General features: G+C 39.5%; 1 protein-coding gene across 7 annotated transcripts in view; it reads right to left on the bottom strand.

Annotated features, from left to right (window-relative positions):
- Positions 1–18,435, bottom strand: part of PHEX (phosphate regulating endopeptidase X-linked) — a 218,986-nt gene that overhangs the window by 125,284 nt on the left and 75,267 nt on the right. For all 7 annotated transcript variants that reach the window (NM_000444.6, NM_001282754.2, XM_047442159.1 and 4 more), the window contains 2 exons: positions 14,467–14,560; positions 11,441–11,569 (listed from right to left, as the gene is read on the bottom strand). In NM_000444.6, the coding sequence (NP_000435.3) occupies positions 11,441–11,569; positions 14,467–14,560 (223 nt within the window). The remainder of the gene's footprint in view (positions 1–11,440; positions 11,570–14,466; positions 14,561–18,435) is intronic.

Genomic DNA, 18,435 nt, shown 5'->3' with positions numbered 1-18,435 from the left:
AATTTATGCTTTTTGAAACCTTCAATTGGCACCTAGCAGAGTTGAAATTGAATCAAATATCTTTCATATATGCTAACAGATAACAGTTATTCCAATAGTATAAAGAGAAAATATTAACAAACTCACTCATAGAAAATATGGTGCTGTGCAGATATGATCATGAGATTTAACAACATGAAAGCTGAAAAAGGGAAAAAAAAAATGCATGGTACCCTTTTTAGGTGAAGTCATTTTTGAAAAGAGAGACCTACTCTGATTTAGTAATTCAAAGCCTGAATCCATGAGTAGAACTTATCAGTGAATAGAAAATCCATCGTTATATTAGGGGACAAGGTTCACAGCAAATGTCTCCAGAATGACTGTAGCCTACTACCAAACACAAACTTTAGTGGAAATCAAGTGACTCTGTAAGTTAGCCTAGTCCATTCTAAGATAGGTGATGTCAACATGGTACATGACAAACAGCTTGGAATGGTTTAAAAATATAGTACATATCTAGTAGGAATAATTATAGGCTAGGAGTTCTGAAAAAGAAAAGAAAGGAAAAAGAAAAAAAATCAGTAAGGTTGATTATGGGCATTAACCTTAAACTAATTTAATGTTAATAAAATTCTTAACGAAAAGGCATAATGTTGAGTAGGCTTTCCTCTTTAACATACTTAGAAGTTATAATATCTGGAAAAAAACCATGAGATTAAAATGTTTCCAGTCTTCTCATTGCTCTAGAACAGGGCAAGTTTTCTTGAGTTGTAACCACTGATTGGTGGAATGTGAAAAATGGAAATCGTTGTTAATAATTTATGTGGATAACCCTGAAGAAATAGGCTTTAATCTCAGGGGGACTCTTAAAATTTTCTTTCTGGCAATTGTCACTTTACTAGAAACACAGACATTAAATAAATGAATGCACCAATAAATATGAAATATTCATTAATTAATTACTTATACTATAACTATTTATAAAAATGCCCTTGGATTGGCTCCTGATAAAAAATAATGGCAACAAAATAAGTAAAAAGTGACCTATATTGAAGTGGGACATGTGGTTAAACCAGAAGAACTAAGGATAGTTAGAAAATGCTGAGGTTTCTGGCAGCCAAGTGAGTGAATAAATCATATCAGTTTGTCAGGATTAGCAGTGTTACATAGCTATTAAACATTTTGGCAAAAGAAGAAAAAATCAAATTATTTGGTGCTATAAAGTGGGTTATTCTGGTGGTACAGGAGGAGTTTCTCATGTCCTTTTATCTAAAGGTATATATTCATAAGACTCAGGTAGATATTTATATTTCTATTTGCTGGATATGAACATATAGGCTGTGTTCTAATTTTATAACTCATCTTTTCCTGTTTTCCACTTTCCAACTTTAAGAGAGGATGGATCAGAAACCAGAATAATATTTACAAGTCAATCAGTCTCAAATAGTCTAGCCTTTGGCTGTGGGTAAATTCTCCCCAGCAAGTAACTATGTCTGGTCACTTCCAACATTCAGATCTGTTGGAAGGCATAAATGTTTTCTTTAGGTAAATGAATTTCTAATAAAGGGTCTTCACATTCCATAGGTCTGACCAGATCTGCTTGACAAGACTGTGGCTGATAATATGTGGCAAAGGCAACACTGCCCAATGCTAGCCAGAAATGGAGAAAACAAACAAGAAAGGTGAGCCAATGTGTCATCGTCGTGGCAGCACACTCAAAGACAAGGACAAGAGTAAGTGTTCATACTTATTTCAAAAGAATTCCCAATGAGCTATCTAAATTACTTGTTTTGCTGGATGTTACTTGACCGAAGATTGCATAAATGAGCTGTCACGATTGGGACCGGATGATATTTGTTGTAACAAGATTTAGCCTGCAGAGGGTTATGAAATCTGGACCTATTCTAGAAATTACATGGCCGGGCATGGTGGCTCATGCCTGTAATCCCAGCACTTTGGGACGCTGAGGAGGGCAGATCACGAGGTCAGGAGATCGAGACCATCCTGGCTAACACAGTGAAACCCCATCTCTACTAAAAATACAAAAAATTAGCCAGGCGAGGTGGCATGCACCTGTGGTCCCAGCTACTTGGGAGGCTGAGGCGGGAAAATGGCGTGAACCCGGGAGGCAGAGCTTGCAGTGAGCCAAGATCGCACCACTGCACTCCAGCCTGGGCAACAGGGCGAGACTTGGTCTCAAAAAAAAAAAAAAAAGAAAAAGAAATTATATTTGGCTCCTCGAGTAATTTCATGAGTAATTTCATGAGACTCTTGTATGAGCCAGACTTGGCGTTAAATGATAGGGTGGGTTCTGGAATGTGGCCAGGGCACTAACATGAAAAGGATCTTTATTCCAATGAAAGCTACTATACTAGGCATGTATGGAGGAGTAGCGACAGCAAAACCCCCCAGGCACCTCCCTCACTCTATGATAAATTAAAAAGAGGCAATCTAAATGCAGAAGTTGCCACAGCCTGTGCCAGGAAGTTGATATTATAAATTCTATCTTAATTATTAACATTAGGCATGGCAATATTAGCAATAAGAGTAGATGACATTCACTGAGCACTTTTTGTGTACCAGGTATTATGCTAGGCCTTCTACATAGATTATATCATTTAACTCTCACCTCAAATGAAAGAAGGAGGTATACTTTTATCCCTATTTGTGATACACAGCACTGACAGCTTTAATGCCATACTCCTTCATTTATCCACACCCCTTACTGTGTGACTTTGCAGATCCTCTCATTAAAAATGCAGAGTTACAGGTGGCTCACACCTGTAATCCTAACACTTTGGGAAGCCAAGGCGGGCAGATCGCTTAAGCTCACGAGTCCAAGACCAGCCTGGACAACACGCCAAAGCCCCATCTCTACAAAAAATACAAAAATTAGCCGGGCATCATGGCGCACACCTGTAGTCCCAGCTACTCGCAGGCTAAAGTGGGAAGATGGCTTGAGCCTGGGAGGCAGAGGCTGCAGTGAGCCGAGATCGCACCACTGCACTCCAGCCTGGGGGACAGAGCCAGACCTTGTCTCAAAAAAAAAAAAAAAAAAAAAAATGCAGACCCTATCTCCCTAGTCTGTAAATCTGGACCGGCCTTGTGACTTGCTTTGGCCAACAAAATGCAGATATTACATTATGCCTGTCCTGAGCCTAGGTCTCAGGAGACCTCACATGTTTCTACTTGCTTGCTTGAACTTCTGCCATCACCATGAGAACATGCACAGGCTAGCCGGCTGAAGGAAGCAGGACACATGAAGCAGAGCCGAGTCATTCCAATCACCTCTGCCAAAGCCAACCTTGATCAGCCAACCCCCAGAAATTCAAGCCAGCCTGGCCAAAATCAACAGAGCTGCATGGGGGCCCACCACTGACTCCAGATGCATCAGCAGTAACTGCTTATTGTCAAATGCCAGTGAGGCTTTGTGATTGATTGTTACACAGCATTACCAAAGCAACAGAAACTCTTGCATCATTTATAACAGGAAAACAAGCTCAAAGAAGTTAACTGATTTGCCCATGTTGGTAAGAGCAGAGCTGGGCTATGAGCTATCAATGCAACTTTGCAGAAAATCAGATGTAATTTCTATATTAGGTCAATATTTTATAAATATATTAAAAAGCCCTTAAAAAACCAAATCATCATGGTTTGCCTTAATTTGGACAGGTCTTCAGCAAAGTTTCTCTGGAAAGTGATCTTGATAATAATAACCAACACCACTTACTAGACAAACAGAAACGGGCATTTAGTAGCCAAAGAGAATATCCTTTCTTTCACAATTTGTGATGAAGGGACCATTGTCTTTATCTGTACAGTGGCTTTACTGAGAACAACCTTTGTGAGCAGCTGAATTTGCAAGGAACGAAAAACTCCTCAGTATAAGGGCAATGCTATAATGCATGACACTGAGTTTCATGTGACTTCTGCCATCAACGTTATAGTTACATCTCATTTACTCAACCACTGAGAGAAACAGTGAGCGAGGGAATTGGAGAACTTAAAGAATATTAATGGCAGTACATCAATTCAATTATCTTAGCTCACTAATGAGGTGAACTTCTAGTGTATTGAGGTTGCAAGTTCAAACTCCGCCACTGCAATTGGACCCACGTGGGTATTTAAGTCTTCAACACCAGATGTAGCAGTATGGGGTGGGAGGAGAATTCTTTTCTTAGGATAAGAATTACTACTGGAATTGCTCAGGCAGAGAGCAGCTCAGAAAAAATGGAAGATATTTTAGGGCATCCATGGCATTACTTGGGGACATGAACAATGTCTTTAAAGAGAAATAGAATAGCTGCTAGAGTGCAGGAGAAATTAGTGAATTGTTCTACATAGGGAGTCAAGTTTTAGTTCTTCACTTAATAAAATCTGAATCTGAAGTGTAATAGATTTGCTCTGCTTTAACTAGATTAACCTTCTGCATATAGAATGTTTTAATATATGACAGGAGATCAGTGACTTTAGCTTTGATCTGAGAGCTGACAAAGACTCTCTCCTTGACCAAAGTTTAGTCAGGCTCCTCTGAGCCCTCTTCTCAAGTACGTCTTGCCCTTACCCTCCTCCCAGCCTCCCACCCCCATCCTGTCCTCGACAAGCCTGTCTAGTCCAGTTGTAGCAAGAATCCTGCTAAGTCACTTTAGAAAGAATCCCCATCCTGATCACCTTGGCCTGCCTTCCACAAGAATCCTGTCAAGTTGGTTTAACAAGAATTTCCCTGCTCGTGATGTCTCCTCTTCATAATTTTCCATCCACTGACCCCCTCATTCTCCTCACTGGCTATAAATCTCCAGCTATCTTTGCTGTATTTAGAGTTGGGCCTAATCTTTCTCCCCTGTTGCAATAGACTTGACACCTCTTGCAATAGTCCTGAATAGTCTTCATTACTATTTTAACAAGTGTCAAAATAATTATTTGCTTTAGCAGGGTTTACTCTATAAGAAAAATGCAGAAAATTTGAGGGAGCAGCAAAAAATACCTACTGGCAGAGATGAGATATATGAATAAAGATAAGCAGTTTGGGGACATAGTGTCTACAATGAAACAAACCAAGACATGGTTTATACAGAAGAACTTAGCCCAGCCAAAATGTTCACATGGGAACTTCAGCTTTACTGAATTTTCTAGAAACTAGAGTTACAGCAACAAGGCCTTTTTTCCCATCAACACAATAGAAAAAAAATTTCTTTGATGTATATATTCACATTTCCGCCTTAGTAGAGAATGGTAAACATTTTTTTTTAAACTTTGATAATAAATCTTACAGAGCCTTTGGGTTACCACTGCAAACATCAGGGATCACTCCTTAGAATGACGTATGTACAAAATACGAGAAATTGAGCTCAGTGTGTAGACTGAGCCAAAGATATACCTGCAAGGTTATTCTTAGATTAAATCAATAGTAGCTTGCTTCTTATCATTTCCGTCTTTCTCCTGAGAATTATATGAATACAAAAATGTGATGTCAACTGGTTGGATATGAATTAGGTTTCCACTATATTTATATTTAAAATTTTGAAATACTGGAAGCCAAACCTATTCCAACTGTTTCCTACCTCTGAAATGTTAAAAAATATGAAATGTATGCCCTTTTAGGATCTTAATATTAGAATAATTTGCTAACAAGGGTAATTATAAGATAAGCCACTAAGAAGGTTCTGGTCTCCTCATATTCGTAAAACTGGCAAAGATTCAAGTGCCTTCAGAGATAAGCAAGGGAATGGAACACTGGTTTCCATGTAGATTGTCTGGGCTTGAACCCTACCTAAGCCATTTTCAAGCTATATGACTCCAGAGAATTTACTTCAACTCTCTGAGCCTGTTTCCTCATCTGGAAAATGAGGGCACTAACAGCAGTAACAGGGTCATTGTGAGGATAAGTGAGTTCACACACTGAAAGCACTTAAAAGAATACCAGACAGCTAGTTAAACCTCAGTGAAAGCTAACTGCTACTGTTATTATCATCACCACATTTTAAAACCAATATGTCCTGACCATCACAGTCACAACTAGGCCCATGGTGACAATCCCTTCATTCCCTGGCCTTCGTTGGAACCTTCACCTGCCCTCCATGGACATGAGTATCTACCTGGGGCACTTACTTATACATTACAGATATAAGCAATAATAATAATAATCAAACAAGGCCAGGCGTGGTGGCTCACGTCTATAATCCCAGCACCTTGGGAGGCTGAGGCAGGGAGATCACTTAAAGTCAGGAGTTCAAGACCAGCTTGGCCAACATGAGGAAACCACATCTCTACCCAAAAAAAATACAAAAATTAGCTGGGCCTGGTGGTGCACACCTGTAATCCCAGCTACTCATGAGGCTGAGGCACAAGAATGGCTTGAACCCAGGAGGCAGAGGTTGCAATGAGCCAAGATCATGCCAGTGCACTTCAGCCTGGGTGATGGAGCAAGACTCTGTCTCAAAAAAAAAAAAAAGAAAAAGAAAAAGACAAGAGTATTAAAAAATAAAAATAAATAAAGGGGAAAATTAGCAAGTGATAACTCTAGACATCCTTCCTGAACACAACTAATCCTCTCTCCTGCCATTTAGGTCATGAGCATATGGATCAGGGCTTGGCACAGTGGAACGAGAGCATCATCTCTATTTACAGTGATGATATATCATCAATTCTCTAGGGGAGTCCCACTTTCATGTAACTTTCCACAAAAGTAATATTAAATGCTTAGCTAATGGAATGTTTTAAAATTATAAATAATCTTCATCTAAATAAGATAAAAAATTAAAGAAGTCCTCTGATAGACAAAGTTATGATTTTTAGTTCTGGGGAATGGGGGAAGAAAGGGAGGTAAGGAGGGAGAAAATGTTAATATAAAAGTCAATGGAGGCCAGGGGTAGTGGCTCATGCCTGTAATCCCAACACAGGGAGGCGGAGGTGGCAGTGAGCCGAGATCACGCCACTGCACTCCAGCCTGGGCAACAGAGTGAGACCCTGTCTCAAAAAAAATATGTGGCTCATATTCCAGTTCAATTGGGTAGTGCTACTTTGGACTGCAAAGACAAAGCAACACTTGCAGCCAATCTCACGAGTTAAGGCTCTGTCCTGCTAACTGGGAGGCAAGGGATTGTACTATATGACCTCTTTTGGTGGCTTTCTGTTGAAGGACTCTCCTTTTCTACATGCTATTCTTCTCATTTCTAATTCAATTTGCTAAATTCCCATGGTTGTGTGTGTGAATGAGTATGAGAACGTTGGTGTATCGGTGTGTCCAAATGCACAGTTGGATGTAGGAAGTCTTAGTGAAACAGTAATATAGAATTATGTGTTTTCCCCAGTGAAAAGGAGGAGAACACTGATAGGTAGGAAACCTCAATGTGAACTGCTCTCTCCCACTCACTCTTTAGAAGAGAGGGTACCAACCACAGGCAGTTGGGCCAACTCTGTCATCAAGAGGTTCTCAAAACAGACACGGAGGAGAAGTGGGGCGGGAGTCTCTTAGTAAAACCTAGGTATCAGTTTTCAAAAGATAAAGCCTGGAGGTCCTAACGCAGGGTTTTTCACAGTCCATTTAAACCAATCTGAATCACAGAAATTTTCAATGATCTGAAAATTAAAGCAGTTACTTGCACTAATGTAACCGGTTTTGGTAAATAAAGTACTGCTATTCATGTCAACTGGCCTGGCCTGCTCTTGTGAGTCACCGAGGCTTTTTTTTTTTTTTTTTTTTTTTTTTGGTGCTGTTTACAAACAAATGAATCATGAGAAGACCTTGCTGCGCAAAGTGTGGTCCACGACCAGCAGCAGCAGTCGCACCTGGAACCTTGTTAGGCAAATTCTTGGGTCCTACCCCAAACACAACTTAAAAAAAAAAAACCTTGTTAAAATGCAATGAGAATCTGCATTTTTAACAAGCAGATGCTCACGTGATTTATGTACACATGTAAATTTGAGACATACCTGAAGTTTAAGCTTCTGACTGTATTCATTTGCTTAACAAACTTTTTTGGTAAATAAACAATGGCAGCCTTCCATCTGAGTTAGGGTCTCTGGAATTTGCCCCTTTGGGGATCTTTCTGTTTTTCTTTTTCTTTAGACTGTAGCTAATAATACTGAATGTTTTTCAAGTAAATCAGTGGTTCCAGGTGGTTCTTGGATGGGAGCCCTGTAAAAAAAAAGGCTATAAAAGGCCAGATATTTCTCTTATAAGTTTCCAACCTAAGTATTCCCTGAGGCAAACAGCTTCAGCACAAGGGAGGCAAACAATTTTACGTTAAAGAGATGAGTATCTGCCTAACTACCAAACTACCCCCACGTACATCAAAATAAGGGGGAAGATGCCAAAATTAACTTTATTTTAGAATGTCATACCCTGACACAAGGAAAAGGGACTTTCACACCAAAACTGAGAAAAACAAGTTTAATCCACATACTTTTCATATTAGTTAAAATTCTTCTACTGCCAAAAAACCTGCTATAATTTTTTTAAATCTTTCATTATCCTTTAATTGTTTTTATAGCCTTCCCAGAGATTATAATATTACTACTGTGATTATCTGATAAGATCTCAATCTATTTACTCTGACCAAAGAGCAAAAGAAAACACGCAATGAGAATACTGAGTATTTTGAAATAAGCCATTAATTCCTCAGTGGAATTATTTGCAAGGGAACTTTCAGGTTCAAACATAAAGTCTCATAGTTAGACAGTAAAAACAAGTTAACATAGGTCAATTTGTTCCCAGACCAAACTGAGGGTCAGGCTGCTATTTCTCACGGCCCAATAACGAGATGCAAATGAACTGGGGAAGAACAGAGTTTTATTTTCTGCCACTGGTTACAGGGAGAAAGCCTGGAAATTATCACCAGACCAACTCAAAGTTACAAAGTTTTCTAGAGCTCATATACCTTCTAAGCTATATGTCTACGTGAAAGTGTGCAATCGTCGAAAGACATAAATGATTAACTTCTTTTAATCTATAACTAGGTGTGAGTCTTGAAGACCTTCTTCTGGAGCCTCAGTAAGTTTACTTAATCTAAATGGGTCTAGGTACTGAGGTAATTACCCTTATCTTGTCTCCTGCTAAATCATAAAGGTTTGGGGAGTTCCTTTAGACCCCAGTAAACTTGTTTGTGGAGGCCTGTGGAGTTTCTTCAGACCCCCAATAAAACTTGTTTAATCCTAAAAGGGTCCTGTTAAGAATTCATTCATTATCTTGTCATGCTTCAAGATCCAGGAAAAGCCTAGGCAAAACTCTTGGTGGGCTCTTTGTTACATTCCAGGCTTTGTATATGGGCAGTGGTTCAATCAGCTTTTAATGTTTAACCTAGCTACTCAGTACGTGCTGGGACAGTTGTGATGGAGGCCTGTGTTAGTGAGACCTGGCCTGCCACAAATGTACTTAGATATGGTATTGCAAAGCAAACTTCAGTGCATAATACATAATCATGTATTATGTATCAATAATGACTATGTACTGATACATAATACCAACCATTTGGTATTATTATGTATCACTACGTGATACCAATCATTTGAACAATCATGACATTACAATGTCTTTGCCCTTTAATTCAGTGTTTATTGACCACCTGCATCCAAGCTGCTCATATATTTGTATCTTATTGACTACACGGATTATTATTAATCATGCCTGGATCTTTTACTTCATGACATTTGTAAAATATAATTCATCAAAAATAAAATGCAGACAAAAAACTTGGCCAAATCCATGTTTCTAATTCAAAATACACCCTCTCAATAGTGAAAAAACGAATAATCTGATTAAAAAATAGGCAAAAGATCTGAATAGACATTTTTCCAAAGACGACACATAAACAGGAGGTTTATGAAAAGGTTTTCATCACTAATCATCAGGGAAATGCAAATCAAACCATAATGAAATAGCACTTCACTACCTGTTAGGATGGCTATGATCAAAAATTTAAGAGGTAAGTGTTGGCAAAATATTCCTGGAAAAAAAGGAAACGCTCATATACTGTTGGTAAGAATGTAAACTGGTACAGCCATTATGGAAAATAGCATGGAAAATCTTCAAAAAAATAAAAATAGGACTACCATTCAATCCAGCCATCCCACTACTGGGTATATATCCAAAGTAAGTAAAATCAGTATATGGAAGAAAGATCTGCACCTTCATGTTCATTGCAGCATTATTCATAATAGCCAAGATATGGAATAAACCTAAATACCCTTCAATGGATAAATACATAAGGAAACTGCGATGTGTGCATGTGTGTACCACACAATGGAATATTTGGCCATAAAAATGAAGAAATGAAGAAAATCCTGCCTTTTGCAACAGCATAGATAAAGCCAGAGGACATTATGCTAAGTGAAATAAGCCAGGCACAGAAAGACAAATATTATATGATCTCACTTATATGTAGAATCTTTATAAAAGTTAAAATATAGAAGCAGAGAGTAGAACAGTAGTTGCCAGGGGCTGGGGGCAGGGAAATGGGGAGATATTGATCAAAGGGTACAAACTTCTAGTTCTAAGATGAATAAGTTATGGGGATCTAAAATATGGCATGGTGACTATAGTTACTAATAATGTATTGTATACTTGAATTTGCTAAGACAGTAAATCTTAAGTGTCCTCATCCCCCACCACCACACACACAATGGTAAATAAGTGTGACAACAGATGTGTTCATTTGATTGTGGCAACCATTTCACAATGTATGTCAAATCATCATCTTGTATACTTTGTGTTTGTTTTGAGACAGAGTCTCGCTCTGTCGCCTTGGCTGAAGGGCAGTGGCGCGATCTCGGCTCACTGCAACCTCCGCCTCCGGGGTTCAAGCAATTCTCCTGCCTCAGCCTCCCAAATAGCTGGGATTACAGGTGCCTGCCACCACGCCCAGATAAATTTTGTATTTTTTTTAGTAGAGATGGGGTTTTACCATGTTGGCCAGGCTGGCCTCAAACTCCTGACCTCAAGTGATCTGCCCGGCTTAGCCTCTCAAAGTACTAGGATTACAGGTGTGAGCCACTGCGCCCGGCCGTATACTTCGAATATATACAATTGTTATTAGTCAAATGCATCTCAATAAAGCTGAAAGAAAAAAAAATACACCCTTTTCTCCAATGCAGTTGAAACAGATGGAGAAGAACACGTTGCCACAGTGATGAGTCCCTCTTTAAATTCAATACCTCAAACCTCACCTACATCTGGACATGCCTGCCCTCAAGCAGCTATACTACATTCCCTCAGTTTATTCACTCTCCCACTCCCCTGGAAAACTACACACCTTCTCTCTCCTCTAACCTTCAATACCTGCTAACTCATCCTCACTCTCGTTTGATGACCTTTCTTCCTATTTCACTTAGAAGTTGAAAGAATCTGAAGACAATACCCACAGGCCACTACCACCTGGAAGGCTGACATTAGCCTGTTGAATATACCCTTGTCAGATCTGGCTAAATTGCCATTATTTTTTGCTAGCTGGGGAGTACCACTTACCATTTCCTTCTTATCTTCCTGGAAGTACACATCTACAAACATCTTTCCAACAACATAAGGGAGGGCACTTTCAATAAAGTTTACACATTTGTCCCATTGAGGCAGCAAAGTTGTGGTCCCCTGGATTACCTGTGGGAGATAATTGATCCAGATTAAACTTCATTTGGATAAAACCCATGGCTGAAAACAATTCAAACAACCTGAAGAAAACAGTCTACAAAACACTGCACACCCTAACCCATATATATGCATCAGATAGTAGAGGCAAAGGTAAAATAGTTGAAGAAAAAAATTCTGCTTGTCCCCATTATATTTCAAACTAAATGAAAATGTTTTAGGCCGGTCAAAGTGGCTCACATCTGTAATCCCAGCACTTTAAGAAGCCCAGGTGAGCAGATCACCTGAGGTCAGGAGCTCGAGACCAGCCTGGCCAACATGGTGAAACCCCGTGCTTACTAAAAACACAAAAATTAGCCGGGCACGGTGGTGCATGCCTGTAATCCCAGCTACTTGGGAGGCTGAGGTGGGAGAATTGTGTGAACCCAGGAAGCGGTGGTTGCAGTGAGCTGAGATTGGGCCACTGCACTCCAGCCTGGGCAATAGAGTGAGACTCTGTCTGGAAAAAAAAAAAAAAAAAAAAAAAGAAGAAGAAGAAAAGAAAGTGATTTAACAGTTAAAATAATATATGTATCCTTTCTTCCCAATTTTCCCCATTAAACAAAGAATCTGGACAATGGTATCACTTTTCTGCAGTCAGCAGGGACATGAGAGGATGCTATCCAAGTGTCTAGATAATATTTAATATCTCCTGAGAACTAAAGTTCCACTAAGAAGGTCTAGAATCAGTGGGTGATCAAAGTTCCTGCCCAGTGAGGGTTTCCTTGCTCCGAGTAGCACACTCAACAAGGCAGACCAGAAGAACATGGCCCACCATGAACAACACAGGGAGCATATTTACATTGTGTCACAGCAAAAAACACACTGATAAACAAGCAAAATACAGATGTAAATGCTTTGCCCATCTGTCCCAATTATACCATTGCAAGAAAACATTTACAAACAAGTAAGAAGTTTCCCAAGCAGGACCTGGGTCAGAGGTTTACTCTTGGGAATAAAAGCAGAGAAATAAATATAGTGTAAGTTGCCCTTGGAAGCTGGGGGTGCAGGCAGGGAGGAAGGGAGGCCCTGAGAATGGTGGTCAGAAGTGTCCTTTGCACAATGTTAGACCCAGGTTGTTTTGAGGAATGGGATTAAGGCTTAATTTCATCTATTCTTCCTCTGATTTCTGGTAACCTCTCTCAGAGGTAAGCGATGAATCTATTTTTAAAACCTCTAGAGAAAGAGATCCTACAACCTTCTTCGGCAATTCAATATTATATTTAGCACTTCGTGCTCAAGAAACATCCCCTCATACCTAACCTTAAATGTTCACACAGTGCTTCTTACACCTCTCTCATTCTCTTCACAGTAGGGGTGGAAAGCAGCTGGGCATCATCTTTTATGTGATTCGTAGCAGTTAAAAATACACACAAACACACACACACACACACACACACACACACACACACACACACACACACAAAACCTACTTGTTTTGTATCTTAACCCATCAATATGACCTAAATATATATATAGTTGTTTTATGCTGTTCTCTGTAAAAAAGACTTTTTTTCTTTTTTTTGAGACGGAGTCTTGCTCTGTTGCCCAGGCTGGAGTGCATTGGTGCCATCATCTCAGTTCACTGTAGCCTCCGCCTCCCGGATTCAAGCAATTCTCCTGCCTCAGCCCCCCGAGTAGCTGGGACCACAGGTGCGTGACACCATGCCCGGCTAATTTTTGTATTTTTTGTAGAGACGAGGTTTCACCACGTTGGCCAGGCTGGTCTCAAACTCCTGACCTCAATTTGCCTGCCTTGGCCTCCCAAAGTGCTGGGATTACAGGTGTGAGCCACTGCACCCAGCCCTAAAGTAACTTTATATGCTAGTGACTTTATAGGGTCAAAGCATATCCAAAATAATTGCACTACTCTTCCAGAGTAATGGCCCACTAAGAATTTCTATACTTATTAGTTCCTCTAATAACTAAAATGCCTCTTGAATGAAATCATAGCTTATAAGATTCACCATTCACTTAACTTTAAATTGATAGAAAAATAAAAACTGTTTCAAAGATACAAAATCCTTACGGCCTCTAGTGGTAGGAGAATTAGTCAGACATAAGCCTCAAAAACAAAGGTGAGAGTAACATGGGTACAAACTGGGAGACGAGCAAGGGTGGGAGAGAAGCAAAGGTTAAAGAGCCAGGTGAGGCCCGGCACAGTGGCTCGTGCCTTTAATCCCAGCACTTTGGGAAGCTGAGGTGAGAGGATCACTTGAGCTCTGGAGTTCAAGACAAGCCTGGGCAACATGGCAAGACCCCATCTCTAATAAAAATAAATAAATAAAGAGCCAGGTGAGCAGGTGGAGGAAAACCATCTCAGACAGTTGAGCAAGAAAACTAAATTGGAGCCTCTTGGACCTAGCAGAGGATAGATTCAAAGATGGAAGGTATAGGCAAAGTTTAAGACAAAATTCCATTTCCAAATTGAAAATGAAGTTCTACCATCCAATATCTCTATCATGCACATTTTAAATATTCAGAATACTGAGAATAAAAGATAGTTACAAATATATCACAAAGAAATGTTAAAACTATAATTACAGTGACCCAGTTAAAAACTCTGGGGGAAAATGGGAATACACTAATAAGACGGGGAAGTTTGAAAACAATGTGTGGCCTCAAGTATTTCTCTAAATATCTTTATATAACCCATCAAAGTAAAACTTGAGTGTACCTTACCATATGTAATTTATACCTAAATAAAAATAAATAAGGCACACACACACACACAAAAACAATAGAGCTTGGGCTACAAACTCCCCCTGTCTAATCCCTAAAGATGATTTTTACTGGATCAGTTAATATATGGACTATTCCAGCATGTAAAGTTATCCAGCGATGTAACACTGCAATCTTCTTAAACTTACCCTTGAGAATTCCAGCCATCTATACTGAAAGCGCCTGCTAAGGTTTGGAATTCTGGAATAAACCATTCTCCACACCAAATAGTTGGCAATGGTCCTGTTAACAGAGAGAGATGCCCATTTATTGTATTTTAGGTCAATATCTGATGCTCTGCAGAACATCTTGAGAGAAACAGTTGGCAAAGCTCCATCGAGGGACCTCTTACTCATACAAAAATGCAGAACTTTCACTTGAGAAATGACATAAGATGATACAATGTCAATAAGCACAACCAAAATTGGCTTGCTTTTCACCACCTAACAGAGATAGATGAAGGAAAGATTCCAGCTCCAGCCCTCAGAGTGAACATTTTACTTTCACTCTCAGGGTATAAAGTCCACTGTTACACAGCCTTTCGTGTCTGGAAATTGTGAGTACCTTCAAATTACAGCAGATCCTCGAATAACATCATTTCATTCAACATCCTTTTGTTATACAGTTGATAAGGAAAAAACCAATTCTGGGCCAGGGTCACTGTCTGTGTAGAGTTTGCACATTCTCCTCAAGTCTGCACAGGTTTTCTCTGGGTGCTGTGGTTTCCTCCCACATCCCAAAGATGTGCCTGCTAGGTTAATCGGCGTGTCTACACATTCCCAGTGTGAGTGAGCATGGTGAGCTACTGCACCCTGTGACAGGATGGCATCCTAGCCAGGGCTGGATCCTGCCTGGTGCCCTGAGCTGCCTAGATAGGCTCCAGCACCTGCAACCCTGAACTAGAATAACTGGGTTAATAATTATCTTACTTTCCCCTTCCTGTGTCCAAGTGTTCTCATTGTTCAATTCCCACCTACGAGTGAGAACATGCGGTGTTTGGTTTTTTGTCCTTGTGATAGTTTGCTGAGAATGATGGTTTCCAGCTTCATCCATGTCCCTACAAAGGACATGAACTCATCATTTTTTATGGCTGCATAGAGGGAGGGGGGAGGGATAGCATTAGGAGATATACCTAATGTAAATGACGAGTTGAGTTAATGGGTGCAGCACACCAACATGGCACATGTATACATATGTAACAAACCTGCACGTTGTACACATGTACCCTAGAACTTAAAGTATAATTTAAAAAATGAAAACAAGGATAAAAAAAAGAATATGTCTACAAAAACATTGAATGGGTTCCAAAGATCAAAAAAAATTATCTTACTTGCTTTTATTTGTCTTTCTTAAATGTACGCATAGCTCACATGTATTCAATGTTCAATATTAGAAGTGTTTTGGTCTTTATTTAGAAGTTTGGTGATGTTTTTGTGAGCAGGAATATGCCATGGGAACTTAACTCTTGTTTACATCAATTAGCCTATGGTAAAATTGATTTCATTATCTGTCATTTTGCTTAAAGTCACAGTTTCCAAGAAGCTATCGATGATGTTAAGTGAGGACTTACTGGATTAGGTGACTTGATACAATGCCTATGTATTCTTTGCCTTTGGAAACTAACAGCAAAATATTGGCTAATACCAATCATCTAATTTTGCACCCTCATTCTATACTTACTAAATATGTGAGTTTCGACAAGTCACTTAAGGTCTGTGATTTTATCTTTATTTTTCATACAATGAGGATGATCCCTACCTTACAGAGTTGTTGCAGGGTTCAAATAAATAACAAAATGCTTGACAAATAGTCAATTTCTAGGGTTTTGTCTTTCACTTCCAAATGTATGAACAACCTCATAAGCTCATGTAATGCCTATAATACATATCTTTAAAAATCTGTTAAATTTTAAGGGTTGCCTTTTTCTATAAGCAAAAGATGACCTGACCTCAGAAGAATGTGTGATCTCAGTTAATTTCTAACTCAATAGTGATGATGGATCTTTAATGATCCATTCCCCTCCCAGCTGTGCCATTACCATGGTGACTAATAACACACATTCCTGAAATGGCTTTCTGGTGAGCCAATCACATGAGAGCAATATGACATGATGATGCTAAAAGCCCATCAAGAACAAACTACACTCTCATTTGTATGACATTCTGACACAGTGGACATGCGCTCCTACTAGTAAAATATTTTTCAGCATACACACCCAATACATGGATGTTTAATTTCTATAGAGATATACTAATAGACTAATATATTAGGAATATTTTTAACAAATACAAAAACAGAAATTTCAAAAGATGAGGTAAAATGAAATTTAAAATCTTCAAAAGTCATTAATTCTTCAAACACCATTGGGTTAATTCTTCAAGACACAGTGTCCATATAGGATTTGGTTAATACAACAATGACAATGAATATAAATCCACATTTCTTAGAGTCTTCTTGACTATTTCAAAAATGTATGACATGTCTTTGTCAGATTGCCATTGTCCTTGTTCTTGTTAGACCACCATTGTATTTCTTTTGTCATCTGGCTAACCAACATGGCATACCAGCCTGGGAGAAGGGTCACTTCTGCCAATTTCTAGCTGTTCTCTTGTGCTTACATCATCAATAATCATTTCAATTCCTGTTTCCTGCAAGAATTTTTAAGCCACTTGTCTACTTTGTAAGTAGTAAACTAGATAAACTAGATAATAAAATTCATAAATCCACAGCTATATGTAAACCGCTCAAGATTTTTTTTTTTTTTTTTGAAGATGGAGTCTTGCTCTGTCGCCCAAGCTGGAGTGCAATGGCGCGATCTCCACTCACTGCAACCTCTGCCTCCTAGGTTCAAGCAATTCTCCTGCCTCAGCCTCCCAAGTAGCTGGGATTACACATGCCCGCCACCACGACTGGCTAATTTCTATATTTTTAGTACTGATGGGGTTTCACCATGTTGGTCAGGCTGGTCTCAATCTCCTGACCTCAGGTGATCCTCCCGCCTCAGCCTCCCAAAGTGCTGGGATTACAGGCGTGAGCCACCGTATCAGCTGAGATTATTTTTAATATATTGAATGAAAACAAGCCAGTGAGGGTGACAGTGCCCCTCTCACATGTTCCATACAGATCAAATGAAGGGTCCATAGCCATCAATATAGAACTCAATAAAGTGTAATTATTTTTCTTTATAAAGTTTTTTTATTTCAATAGCTTTTGGGGATGTAAATGGTTTTTGGTTATATGGATAAATTGTATAGTGGTGAAGTCTGAGATGTTAGTGCACCCATCACCCAAGTAATGTACACTGGATCCAATCTATAGTTTTTTTATGCCTCATCCCCTTCCTACCCTCCCTGCTTCTGAGTCTCCAAAGTCCATTATACCACTCTGTATAAAGCCTAATTATTTTTAAATTTAAATAAAGATATAGAAGTTCTAAAATGTTCTTCTCAGACCCAATGGATCTTGTTAGGATATGCGCATTCCCCTAAGACACCACTGCACTAATCAGCAAAGTCCAGCCCTTGCCCATCTCTGTTGAGGCCACTAAGTGGTTTGGGGTCATTCCTTTGGCTCTTTTGCATTCACATCTCCACTCCTTAATAGGACAAGAAGTGCTCACTGAGCACTTATTGTTGGCCAAGTATTGTGCCAGATGCCATGAGGAACGTAAAGAAGTAAGAACCCAGCACCTACAGTTAGAGAACTCAAAGTCCAGCTGGGAACACAGGACTTCAGATTTCAGCTTGTTCATGTAATTGGGTTGTTTAATTGAAGGGACACACTGTCAGTACATAAGGGTCTTTCTTTCATTCACTCAATCAACACATCCTGAGCACCCACATATATACTAACAGTTCTCTGTGCTGGGGAGATGGATAGTCCCTGATTTCCTGAAGCTTTTAGCTGAGCAGGGGAGATGAGGCAAGTGCATAAATAATGATTTGGTAGACACTAGCACCCAAAAGTATGTGCCAGACACTTCACTGTAAGGATAGTACATCTCAAACTGAGGGTTAAGAGTAGGCTTCATGAGAGAAGCATGCCGAAAGGTTAAAAGGCTTTGGTGTTGCAAACAGGAACGTGAACTCTGGACAGGCTAAATAATGGTGGAATCGGCT

Source organism: Homo sapiens, chromosome X, assembly GCF_000001405.40.
Source record: "Homo sapiens chromosome X, GRCh38.p14 Primary Assembly".
Lineage (NCBI taxonomy): Eukaryota > Metazoa > Chordata > Mammalia > Primates > Hominidae > Homo > Homo sapiens.
Note: the sequence above shows the minus strand (reverse complement) of the source record. Positions and strands in the feature narration are given on the sequence as shown.